At 47.2% G+C, this 13419-nt stretch overlaps 1 protein-coding gene across 2 annotated transcripts in view; it reads right to left on the bottom strand.

The window, feature by feature from the left end:
• Positions 1–1825: 1825 nt before the first annotated feature.
• The window catches only part of AP1M1 (adaptor related protein complex 1 subunit mu 1), a 47996-nt gene continuing 36402 nt past the window's right edge, over positions 1826–13419 (bottom strand). For both annotated transcript variants that reach the window (NM_001130524.2, NM_032493.4), the window contains one exon: positions 1826–13319. In NM_001130524.2, coding sequence (NP_001123996.1) covers positions 13297–13319 — 23 coding nt within the window. In that variant the 3' untranslated portion in view covers positions 1826–13296. The remainder of the gene's footprint in view (positions 13320–13419) is intronic.

Below are 13419 nucleotides of genomic sequence, written 5' to 3'. Positions count from 1 at the left end.
CAGTACTGCTCTGGACCCTAGAGACACAGCAGTGACAAATCAGATGGGGCGGGGGTGTCCTTGTGGAACTTCTAGGCAGACCAGGGGTGTGCCAGCAAAAGTGGAACAAATCACAGCTGCATGTTTCGACAAGCTGGAGTGGCTGGAGGGGAGGGGACACTTGAGTTGAGCAATGAATTTCAAGGAGGCAGCGGAGGCAAGGGTGCACCAGACAGAAGGCACTGGCAACTGCAAAGGTTCTGAGGTGAGAACAAGCTTGGGGCAAAGAGGCGCGAGTGGCAGGTGAAGAGGGAGGAAAGGCGAGAGTGGAAGCCAGAGGAGGACCAGCTGGACCCGGAGGACAAGGGAGCGGGGACTTTACTCTGAGGGCACTGGAGAGCCATGGGAGGATTTTGAGCAGGGGAGGGGAATGACCTGAATTACAATCTTTATTAAAAGATGGTCTTAGGCCATCACAGACATGCTGATGATGGCTCTATCTTTTATTATTTGGCCATAAATAATACATCATTTTGTTTCATGTAATTTTAAACTTTGCACACATAATGGGGACAACGTCCTTCAGCAAGTCACTCTTTTCCTTAGCATCATTTATTATTATTATTATTTTATCGTGTCTTGGCCTTTTGGCTAAGATCAAGTGTAGTTTTTTTTTTTTGAGACAGAGTCACTCTGTTGCCCAGGCTGGAGTGCAGTGGCGTGATCTCGGCTCACTGCAACCTCCGCCTCCCAGGTTCAAGCGATTCTCCTGCCTTAGCCTCCCGAGTAGCTGGGATTACACGTGCCTGCCACCATGCCCAACTAATTTTTTGTATTTTTAGTAGAGACGGGGTTTCATCATGTTGGCCACGCTGGTCTCAAACTCCTGACCTCAGGTGATCCAGCTGCCTCAGCCTCCCAAAGTGTTGGGATTACCGGCGTGAGCCACCTACACCCAGCCCCTAGCATTGTTCATACTGTTCTAGCTATTGTTTTTTTTTTTTGATAGGGTTTTATTCTAAATATTCTTTTATTTGGGGGTCCACTAGCCTGTATCGTGTTTTGTGAATTAGAAAAAGAAACCCCTTTCTCGCTATGTGGCTGGAACTCTAGGCCAGGGATCACAGCTTGGTGAGCAGAAGCTCTCTACCCTTGGGAAGTGAATACCTCACACAACCCTAGACATGTGTCCTGTTCTAATCGTTTTAATGTCTTTAAATCTATAGTAATGTCTCCCCCAACCCAATTCCAGTAACAGCTATGTGTGCTTTCTTTTCATGTTGATCAATTTCCCTAGCGGTTTTTCAATTTCATTCATTTTTTTTTAAATAAACTCACTTTGTTGATTTTCTTTATTGAGTGTTTCTTTTCCATTTTCTTTGTATCTACTCCCTATTATTTCCTTCTTTCTGTGCTCTTACATTTATTTTGTTGTTCTTTTTCTAACTTCTTGAGATGGAGGCTTAGATCATTATTTTAGCCTTTATATATGTATATATGTGTACACATTTAATATCTACTCATATATATTTCTTTCTTTTTGAGATGGAGTTTTGCTCTTGTTGCCCAGGCTAGAGTGAAATGGTGAGATCTTGGTTCACTGAAACCTCCGCCTCCCAGGTTCGAGTGATTCTCCTGCCTCAGCCTCCCGAGTAGCTGGGATTACAGGCACATGCCGCTGTGCCCGGCTAATTTTTGTATTTTTAGTAGAGATGGGGTTTCACGATGCTGACTTCAGGTGATCCACCTGGGCTGGCCTCCCAAAGCGCTGGGATTACAGGCTTGAGCCACCTCGCCCAGCCTAGAATTGTAACTCTCAAACATTCAAAGGAAAACAATGACTTTATTTTTATTTTTTAAATTATTTATTTATTTTAGCCCCCTGCCTTTTTAAATATAAGCTCTCATCATTCAAGCAATGACTTTTTTTAAAAGCCACAAACAATCTGTAATAAATCCAGAGAGGACATAAAAGAGAACATAGAAAGGACAAAAATAGAAAACAAAGTAAGACGGTAGATTTAAATTTATACTTAAATGTAATATCAGTTATTACATTAAATGTAAAGGGACTTAATGCTCCAGCTAAAAGTCATTTTGTCAAACTGAATTTTAAAAATTCCAACTCTACGCTATTTTCCCCCCCAAATGCTGTCACACTCCTAGGAACAGAGAGGTCATTCTGGGTGGAATTCTGGTCTCCCCGCACTTTGGGAGGCCGAGGCAGGTGGATCACTTGAGGCCAGGAGTTCTAGACCAGCTTGGCCAATATGGTGAAACCACAACTCTATAAAATTACATAAATTAGCTGGGTGTGGTGGCGTGCACCTGTAATCCTGGCTACTCAGGAGGCTGAGGCAGGAGAATTGCTTGAACCCAGGAGGTGGAGGTTGCAGTGAGCTGAGATCACGCCACTGCACTCCAGCCTGGGCGACAGAGTGAGACTCTGTCTCAAAAAAACAAAACAAAGAAGAAAAGCAAAGTTACAGTGCTAAAATAATAAAAATGTTTTAGCTCCCTTAGATAGTAAAATGCATACTTATCAAAATGCAGATTTGGCTGGGCGCAGTGGCTCATGCCTGTAATCCCAGCACTTTGGGAGGCCGAGGCGGGCGGATCACCTGAGGTCGGGAGTTTGAGACCAGCCTGACCAACATGGAGAAACCCCGCCTCTACCAAAAATACAAAGTTAGGCAGGCCTGGTGGCGCATCGTGTAATCCCAGCTACTCAGGAGGCTGAGGCAGGAGAATAGCTTGAACCCGGGATGCAGAGGTTGCAGTGAGCAAAGACCGCGCCATTGCACTCCAGCCTGGGCAACAAGAGCGAAACTCCGTCTCAACAACAACAACAACAACAACAACAACAACAAACAACAAATTTTATCCATGTTATTTATTTATTTATTTATTTATTTTGAGACGGAGTCTCGCTCTGTCGCCCAGGCCGGACTGCGGACTGCAGTGGCGCAATCTCGGCTCACTGCAAGCTCCGCTTCCCGGGTTCACGCCATTCTCCTGCCTCAGCCTCCGGAGTAGCTGGGACTACAGGCGCCCGCCACCGCGCCCGGCTAATTTTTTGTATTTTTAGTAGAGACGGGGTTTCACCGTGTTAGCCAGGATGGTCTCGATCTCCTGACCTCGTGATCCGCCCGCCTCGGCCTCCCAAAGTGTATCCATGTTATTTATTCTCCTCCCAGACAGTCATTAACTTGGAACATTTTAACTCAGTTTACTCCCTGCAGACTTTTTTTCCTGTTGTATAATTCTATCACTTAAAAAAACTCCAGAAACTGTTTATGCAATCTTTGTCTAGATTTTCTCATGTATTTTCTACTTCTTTGCTTTTATTTCTTCTTGCATCATGCCCTTCCGTCTGAGATCACTTTCCTTGTGCCTGATGTGAGTACACTGTTTACAATTTTCTTTAGTGTTAGCCTGCTGCTGGCAAACTCTTTCGTTATTTGTCTGCAAAATGTTTTTACTGTAACCTCATTCTTGAAATACTTTTGCTGGGTCTCTGATTTGGGTTAGTGGTTTTCTTTTAGCATGTTGAAAATGTCACCCAACTGTTTTCTGGGTTCCTTTGAAAAGCCAGCTGTCTGTCTGTCTGGTTGTCATGTCTGAAGGTGATGTGTCTTTACCTCTGGCTGCTTTAAGTATCTTTTGCCTTTTTCCCCTTTGTGAATGTTTTTGCTGAAGTGTAACATATACACAAAAGAGTGTGCAAATCATCAATGCTTGATGGATTCTCGAGAGCACACCCATGTCACCTGCATCCAGATTGAAAAATATTCTCTAATTATTTATTTGGAGACAGACTCTCGTTTCGTTGCCCAGGCTGGAGTGCAGTGGCACAATCTCAGCTCACTGCAACCTCTGCCTCCAGGGTTCAAGCCATTCTTGGGCCTCAGCCTCCTGAGTAGCTGGGATTTACAGGCGTGTGCCACTACACCTGGTTAATTTTTGTATTTTTAGTAGAGATGGATTTTCGCCATGTTGGCCAGGCTGGTCTCGAACTCCTGAGCTCAAGTGATTCACCTGCTTCAGCCTCCTAAAGTGCTGGGATTATAGACATGAGCCACTGCACCTGGCCATTCTCTAATATTTTCTAACTTCCATTATATTTTCTTCTTTGACACATGGTGATTGAAAAATGTGCTTTAAAATCTCTCATATTGGCTGGGCATGGTGACTCACACCTGTAATTCCAGCACTGTGGAGGCTGAGGCAGGTGGATCACTTGAGCCCAAGTGCAAGACCAGCCTGGGCAACATGGCAAAACTCCATCTCTACTAAAAATACAAAAAAAAAAAAAAAATAGCTGAGCTTGGTGGTGCTCACCTGTAATCCCAGCTACTTGTGAGACTGAGATGGGAGGACTATTTCAGCCTAGGAGGCCAAGGTTGCAGTGAGCTGACATCGTGCCACTGACTGCACTCCAGCCTGGGCAACAGAGACCCTTTCTCAAAACAAAAACAAAAACAAAAACAAAAACAAAAACAAAAAAAACCTCTCATATTTGGAAATATTTTAAAGTAATTTATTTCTTGTTGAATTCTAACTAATTTCTCTTGAAAATTCCTCAGAGAGTGGGAACTCTAATAATAATTCTTGGAGTTGTGTGGAAACTTCTCGGGGATCTAATACATTTTTTCTTTTGCTTTCTTGCTTTAAAGTCTATTCTGGCCGTGTGTGGTGGCTCACACCTGCCACTAGCACTTTGGGAGGCCAGTGGGGGTGGATCACCTGAGGTCAGGGTTCAAGACCAGCCTGGCCAACATGGCAAAACCCTGTCTCTACTAAAAATAAAAAAAATACAAAAATAAAAAAATTTAGCCAAGCATGGTGGTGCATGCCTGTAATCCCAGCTACTGAGGAGACTGAGGCAGGAGAATCACTTGAACCCGGGAGGCGGAGGTTGCAGTAAGCAAAGATCGCGCCACTGCACTCCAGCCTGGGCGACAGAGCGAGACTCCATCTCAAAAAATTAAATGAATGAATAAATAAATAAATACATCTATTCTGTCTGGAATTAATATAACCATATGAGATTTCTTTTGGCATCTTTTAATGTCTTTTTACTTTTAACTGTGTTGTGTGCTTATATTTTAAGTGTCACATCTTTTAATGTTTTTTTACTTTCAATTGTGTTGTGTACTTACATTTTAGATGTATCGCGTATAAACAGGATATCACAGGATTTTGTATTTCAGTTCAATCCGACAACATCTTCAACTAGCAGCTTTGCTTCATTTACACCTGTTGTGGTTCCTAATATCTGGATTTATTTCTACAATCTTATTTTATGCTTTCTGCAGCCAGAGATGCTAGGGGTGTCCCAAAAGTCCCAGTGCAGTTTTAAGTACTATTATTTATTATTTTAAAAAGTTTAGAACATCCCTGCATTTATCCTGATTTTTCCTTTATTTTATTTTTTTTTTTTGAGGCAGGGTGTCACTCTGTCACCCAACCTGGAGTGCAGTGGTGCAATCACAGCTCACTGCAGCCTCAGCTTCCTGAACTCAGGTGATCCTCCCAACTCAGCCTCCTGAGTAGTTTGGACTACAGGTGTGCGCCACCATGCCTGGCTAATTTTTGTAGAGACAGAGTTTCTCCATGTTGCCCAGGCTGGTCTCAAACTCCTAGGCTCAAGCAATTCACCTGTCTCAGCCTCAGCCTCCCAAAGCACTGGGATTACAGGCATGAGCCACTGAACCTGGCCTCCTGATTGTTCTTTTTCTTTTTCTTTCTTTTTTTTTTTGAGATGGAGTTTCGCTCATTGCCCAGGCTGGAGTGCAATGGCGCGATCTCAGCTCACCACAACCTCTGCCTCCCAGGTTCAAGCGATTCTCCTGCCTCACCCTCCCGAGTAGCTGGGATTATAGGCATGCACCACCACACCCGGCTAATTTTATATTTTTAGTAGAGACGGGGTTTCTCATGTTAGTCAGGCTGATCTCGAACTCCCAACCTCAGGTGATCCGCCTGCCTCAGCCTCCCAAAGTGCTGGGATTACAGGCGTGAGCCACCGCGCCCAGTGCCTCCTGATTTTTCTACGCCTCCTTCTCTTTTCCTTCTTCCTATTAATCTGTTAAAAGTTTTCTTTCAACCCTTTTCCAACCACTGGTCTAGAAATTATATATAAATACGTGGCCCTCGTGGACTTTAGCCGAATCTCCTCCCAAATAGCATAGTGACCTTGAAAGGCATGAACACCAGGATGTTGTCTAGTACTTCAGTTGCGCCTTTTGTCGCTACTCTATACGTTAGTCACTGTTATTATTGCTTTACACAGTCAATGACAGTTTAGACAGATCCAATGGTTTCTAAGGTTTTCCGGCATTCCTTCTCACATCTTTCTTCCTTTCCTTATGTACACAAGTTCCTTTTTTCGGGGAATCTGTTATTGATAAATTGTTTTTATCTTGTCTTTTTTTTTTTTTGAGACAGAATCTCACTTTGCCCAAGCTGGAGTACAGTGGCGCGATCTCGGCTCACTGCAACCTCTGTCTCCCTGGTTCAAGCAATTCTGTCTGCCTCAGTCTCCCAAGTAGCTGGGAACACAGGTGCCCGCCACCACACCTGGCTAATTTTGTATTTCTAGTAGAGATGGGGTTTCTCCTTGTTGGTCCGGCTGGTCTCAAACTCCTGACCTCTGCCCGCCTCGGCCTCCCAGAGTGCTGGGATTACAGGCGGGAGCCACCATGCCCGGCTTGTCCTACCTTTTACAGATGAGGTGGGCTCAGAATTCTAGACTGCACTTCTCTCAGTAATTTGAAGCCATGCTCTATCTTCGGACTTTTGTTGTTCCAGTTGTGAAACCAGTTCTCTGTCCAATTGCTCTTTGGAGAGACATTTTAATCTCTTAGTGTTGCTGTTAGGATCTTCCCTGAGTCTGATATGTTCTGTGGTTCGACTATGATTATTTTAGTTACGAATTTAGGTTTGTGTATCATGCTTTGGACTCAACGGTTTCCTGGATCTTAAAATTTCAAGATTTTCAGGCTGGGCGCAGTGGCTCATGCCTGTAATCCCAGCACTTTGGGAGGCCGAAGCAGGCAGATCACCTGAGGTCAGGAGTTCGAGACCATCTTGACCAACATAGTGAAACCCCATCTCTACAAAAAATACAAAAATTAGCCGGGCGTGGTGGTGTGCACCTGTAATCCCAGCTGCTTGGGAGGCTGAGATATGAGAATTGCTTGAACCTGGGAGGCAGAGGTTGTAATGAGCCGAGATTTCGCCATTGCACTCCAGCCTGGGCAACAAACGCGAAACTCCGTCAAAATGAAAAACAAAAAACACTTCAAGATTTTCATTAATTTTGGAAAATTCTGGCCACGATCTCTTTGCATGTGGCTGCTCCCCAGTTCTCATTTTTTGGTTTGTGTTAGATACTTGCTGGCATGTTGGGCCTTCTTATTGTCTTGTGCTAACCACACACGCACATCACACACACACACACACACACACACACATACACACACACACACACACACACACACACACAGAGTCGTCCCTCCATATCCTCAAGGGATTGCTTCCAGGACTCCCCTTGGATACCAAAATCTGAGGATGCTCAAGTCTTTTATATAAAATGGCACAATATTTGCATATATCCTATGCACATCATCTTTAAATCATCTCTAGATTACCTAATACAATGTAGATGCTACATAATCATTATACTGTATTATTTAAGGAATAATGACAATAAAAAAGAAAACCTGTACATGTCCAGCACAGACACAATTGTTTTTCAAATATTTTCAACTCACTCTTGGTTGAATCCATGGATGCAGAACCCATGGATGTGGAGGGTTGACTGTAAATATATATATGTCTCATTAGCTGTGCTATGTCCCGGGTAACTGCCTCAGACAGCTCTCTTCTAGTGCACTAATTCTCTTCATCTATGTCTCACTTGTATTTTAACACCCTCCAACCAAGTTGTTAATTTTTTTTTTTGAGACAGTGTCTCACTGTGTCGCTCAGGCAAGAGTACAACGGTGCCATCTTGACTCACTGCGAGCGCCATCTCCCGGGTTCAAGCGAATCTCCTGCCCCAGCCACCTGAGTAGCTGGGATTACAGGTATGAGCCACTACGCCCAGCTAATTCTTTTGTATTTTTAGTAGCAATCAGGTTTTACCATGTTGGCCAGGCTGGTCTCAAACTCCTGACCTAAAATGATCTGGCCGCCTCAGCCTCCCAAAGTGCTGGGATTATAGGCGTGAGCCACCATGCCCGGCCCCAAGTTGTTAATTCCTATGACTACATTTTTAATCTATTTTTTTCTTCCAAATCTGCATTGTCATTTTTGGGGGGTGTTTTGTTGGTTTGTTTTAGAGACAGGGTCTCACTATGTTGCCCAGGCTGTCCTTAAACTCCTGGGCTCAAGTAATCCTCTAGCCTCAGCCTCCCAAGTAGTTGGGACTACAGGTGCATACTACCATGCCCAGCTTTGCAGTCTTAAAAAAAAAAAAAAAAAAAAAAAAAAAAAAAAAAAAAAAAGAGAACTGGCCGGGCGCGGTGGCTCATGCCTGTAATCCCAGCACTTTGGGAAGGTGAGGGGGGCGGATCACCTGAAGCCGGGAGTTCGAGACCAGCCTGACCAACATGGAGAAATCCCGTCTCTACCAAAAATACAAAATTAGCCAGGCATGGTGGCGCATGCCTGTAATCTCAGCTACTCAGGAGGATGAGGCAGGAGAATTGCTTGAACCCAGAAGGCGGAGGTTGCAGTGAGCCGAGATCACACCATTGCACTCCAGCCTGGGCAACAAGAGCAAAACTCTGTCTCAAAAAAAACAAAAACAAAAACAAAAAACAAAAAAACTACAAAAAGTATATTAAGAACTACAAAAAGGGCTGGGCACTGTGGCTCATGCCTGTAATCCCAGCACTTTGGGAGGCCAAGGTGGGAGGATCACTTGAGCCCAGGAGTTTGAAGCTGCAGTGAGCCGTGACCATGCCACTGCACTTTGGCCTGGGCAACAGAGTGACACCCTGTCAAAAAAAAAAAAAAAAAGCATAAAGAAAGAATACAGAACAAGCCACTAAGCAATACCAAGCTTAAGGAAATTGCCAACACAGCAGAGGCCCCAGTCATACCCCCTTCCTGTTTTTGCCTTTCAGAGATAACCAGGGATGTGAATTTTTTCAAATTCTCAAGCATCTCGTTAGACTTTTGCTGGATATATATAGATCCCTAAGCACGCAAAATATTATTTCCGTATTTTATACTAGATTACTGCATTTTCTTTTGTAAACATTTTTCCCGCTCAATGTTGTTTAAGTTGTATTCTGAGCCATATCACTGCTCTAGTTGAATTCATTTTCACTGCTGTAATCTCTTGCATGAATGGACTACAGTGGTCCCTTTTCCTATTGAAGGACTTTTGGTTGCTTTCCAATTTCCTGCTATCATGAACTATGCTGCTGTAAGTGTAACTGTACACCTGATATTTCTCTATATATTGGTGCATGGACTTCTCAGGGCTTTTCTCAACTAGAGTTCTGCAAGAGAATTCTGGCATAAAGATGACTTCAGGGAGGATGTTCTCAACTTTCCCACAGTCAGTACATAGCTAGCACGTTCTAGATGTTCAGGAGGCGTGGCGAGGTGGCTCACGCCTGTAATCCCAGCACTTTGGGAGGCCAAGGCAGGATGATGGCTCAAGCCCAGGAGTTGGAGACCAGTGTGGACAAAATGACGAGACCCCATCTCTATAAAAAATATGAAAAATTGGCCCAGCATGGTGGCATGTGCTTGTAGTCCCAGCTCCTCAAGAGGCTGAGGCAGGATTGGCTGAGCCTGGCAGCTCGAGGCTGCAGTGAGCCGTGATCACGCCACTGCACTCCAGCCTGGGTAACATAGCAAGACCCTGTCTCAAAAAAAAAAATTTTTTTGGGGGGGGCCGACATGATGCAAATAGCATCTAACTGTGGTCTTGGTTTATGTGTACATATTTCCTGAATAGCTACATGGTTGAACGTTTGCCTTTTTTTTTTCTTTTGAGATGAAGTCTTGCTCTGTTGCCCAGGCTGGAGTGCAGGTGGTATGATCTCGGCTCACTGCAACCTCTGCCTCCTGGGGTTCAAATGATTCTGATGCCTCAGCCTCCCAAGTAGCTGGGATTACAGGCGCCCGCCACCATGCCTGGCTAATTTTGGTATTTTTAGTAGAGATGGGGTCTCGCCATGTTGGCCAGGTTGGTCTCGGACTCCTGACCTCAGGTGATCCACCCGTCTCAGCCTCCCAAAGTGCTGGGATTACAGGCATAAGCCACTGCGCTAGGCCGGTTTTTGTTGTGTTTTGAGACGGAGTCTCGCTCTGTTGCCCAGGCTGGAGTGCAGTAACACTATCTTGGCTCACTGCAACCTCCACCTCCTGGGTTCAAGCCATTCTCCTGCCTCAGCATACTGAGTAGCTGGGATTACAGGCACGCACCACCACACCCGGCTAATTCTTGTATTTTTAGTATAGATGGGGCTTCACCATGCTGGCCATGCTGGTCTCGAACTCCTGACCTCCAGTGATCGGTCTGCCTCGGCTTCCCAAAGTATTGGGCTCACGGGCGTGAGCCACCACGCCTGGCCGAACGGTCGCCATTTGTATTTCATCTTCTTCATACTGTCTGTTCACACACAGCCCATTTTGTTAGGTTCTCTTTTTCTGATTTGTAGACGTTATAACCCGCATGCAAATTATTTGCCTTGTTGGATGTTGTAACAGCTCTGTCTTAACAGCATTTTGCTCTTTTCTATTCAGAGTCTCTGTGCCTTTAGGCACTTGCAACAGATTGACTGCATAGTGTATTTGTTTACATGCCGATAATCTTTGAAGTTCGTGAGGATCTGATCCTGCTGTTTCAAGTTTGCTTTCATGCACGTGTTTTGTAATTTTCAGGATGTGCCCTCATGTTGAGGGTCTATTGTGTGCGAGGATCTTAGGTAACAAGGCATGAAGTTAGGTCCCTCCAGGGAGGTTTTCTGTCATAAACATCTTGGCCTGGTTGTCTGCAAACCAGATTGATATTACAAGCGTGGGGTCTAAATGAGTGGTGACTTTTTCTCCTGTGGATCTCAGGCAGAGAGAGGACACAGTGCTTATTCTCAGGGGTGGAGGGCAAATGTTTTTTCTAGTCCATCTTTTTACTGTTAAGTATCATGACCCTCGAGGATCCCAGCTTCACGCAGGAGTCATCTCCACTGCATTTCACCATCTTCCCGATGCCCAAAGTCCTATCTGCCACCTGGCCCCCAAACCTAAACCCGGTGGTTTCCAAGAGCAACTCCGGTGTGAGCCCCCACGGTGTCTTCCGCGTCTACTTCCTTCGTCTTGGGCTCCTGTGGGTCTCCTTGCTTTTTTATGGGCACGGCTAGGTGCGTCTGCTTCATTTCCTGCATTTCTACAGTCTGTAGTGGAGGGTTTGCAGGTCTTATCTGATAAGTTGCTGGAAACTGAAGTCTCTCTTCTGTCCTGTGGACCAGCCCTCTCCTGTCCCTGCGGTGTCCCAGCATGGGGGCTCCACAGGGTGGGGACAGTGACAGCCCACACTGGAGCTAGGCCCCGGGGGTGGCAGCGAGGATGGCAAATGGGGTCAGCCCCAGGGTTTTCTGGAGGGGCCATGAGGGCTGGCTGCTGATATGGGTGTGGACAGTGAGGGGAGGGGCCCCAGGGATGCCTTCAGGGCTTTGGTCTGAGGCCTGGGCTGGGGCAGCGTCATTGACTGAGATGGGGAAGACCTACGTGGGCGGAAGGTTCTACTCAGGCTGTTAGGTCGGATGCCCACTAGACACCTGAGGACGAGCTCGGCAAGACAGGAGAGGGAGGGGGAGAATGAAGGCAAGAGGGTGCTGGCCAGGCAGGGCCATCAGCACTGGTCGGGGAGGGGGCCAAGAGCAGGCAGCACTTCCTGCATATGTGCTATTTCCCCCATGGACCAAGTAGCAGTTCACAGAAGAAGCATCTGGGGGCCTTGTTAATGTTTTCCGGGACCCTGGCCCCAGAGCCTCCACTTTGGCAGGTCAGGGCTGGCCCACGAACCTGCATTTCTAGCTAGGACACAGGGGATGCTGCTGTGGACACAAGGACCATGCTCTGAGTGGGCCATCAGTTTGGGGAGAGGTGGGGACAAGCTGTTGGCCATCTGAGGGTGCAGCAGATTGGATGAGAGAAGACTCTGCCTCTGTGGCCTCCTCTGTGTGGCCCAGGAGTGGTGGCCCATGGTCCAGCACTGCAGCTGCCTCTTCCCGCAGCTGCTTTTCCTGTGTTTCAGCTGGGGAAGCAGAGGGAGCTGGTGACACCTCGTGGGGCCACAGGGAAGGTCGGCGACAAAACCAGGCAAGCCCTGTGGTCACGCAGGAGGAGTTGGGACCACGCTGCATCAGAGGAAGGCTGTGGAGTATTCAATGAATGGAATTTAATGTAACTATGACATAAACACACACAGGGTGGGGAGGACGGGTGACCAAGCGCAGACGTGGGTGACACGTGGCCCCGCTCTCTGGACCCTCAGTGGGAAAAAGTCTGAGGCTGGCGTCTCTCACCAAACCCCACCTCCCCTGGTGGGTCAATACTGATCTGGCTGAGTGACAGCATCTCGTGACCCAGGCTGGCCCTGGGAAGGCGCCACAGGCGAGGCCTGCGAGTCCAGGGAGCAGGCAGACGCTACAGTGGCCCCCGAGCGCGCCAGGTGCCAGCCTCGACGTGTAAATGGCCCGCTGCGGGCGCTGCCGGGAAGGAAGACAAGAAGGGTGAGGGCTCGTCCTCACCAAGTGCTTCCTGAGTGCCGTAGGACGTGGGTGGGACATGGGGACAGTGAGGGTAACACAAACAGCAACGAATGCACAAAGACAAGTTCCAGGAACACCCATAAACCCATAACGTTCAACAAAATGGCAACAAAACGACGCCCCTGCTGGCCTGGCGAGGCTGGCGCTTCCTTCGTGGCAGATGCCACCTGCAGCTGGCTGGCTGGCAAGCGTTGGCCAAGCTTTTTGGTACCTGGGAGCTCAACAGCATAAAAGGCTGTAACCTCTACACGGAAAAATTTCACATCCTTCCCCTGAAACTGACTTCAGGGGCAAAGAAACGAGACTTCTTGAAGACCAGCCTCTTCTGGGAAAGGGGCTTCTGAGACGAGTGTCGACGGCAGAGCAGATGGCCTGGGGAAGGCAGGGGTCCCTGGGCAGAGGCTGGGAGGGTGGCCAGAGACCAGGGAGGGCCCCTCCATCTGGTGGGTTTGGCAGGTGTGTCCCCTGGTGCTGCCACCAGGAGCCCCGAGGCCGGGGTGTTGGCTGCGACAGCCCCTCACTGGGTCCGGAGCTGGTAATCTAGGAGACAGGAGGGAGGCGTCATGCTGGGCTCTGCACCCTCCCTGCTTTCGGGACCCGACCCGATGGCTCCACCCTGGGGGCAGCCACAGAGGACCCC

This window comes from Homo sapiens, chromosome 19 (assembly GCF_000001405.40).
Source record: "Homo sapiens chromosome 19, GRCh38.p14 Primary Assembly".
In the NCBI taxonomy this organism is placed as follows: Eukaryota; Metazoa; Chordata; class Mammalia; order Primates; family Hominidae; genus Homo; species Homo sapiens.
Note: the sequence above shows the minus strand (reverse complement) of the source record. Positions and strands in the feature narration are given on the sequence as shown.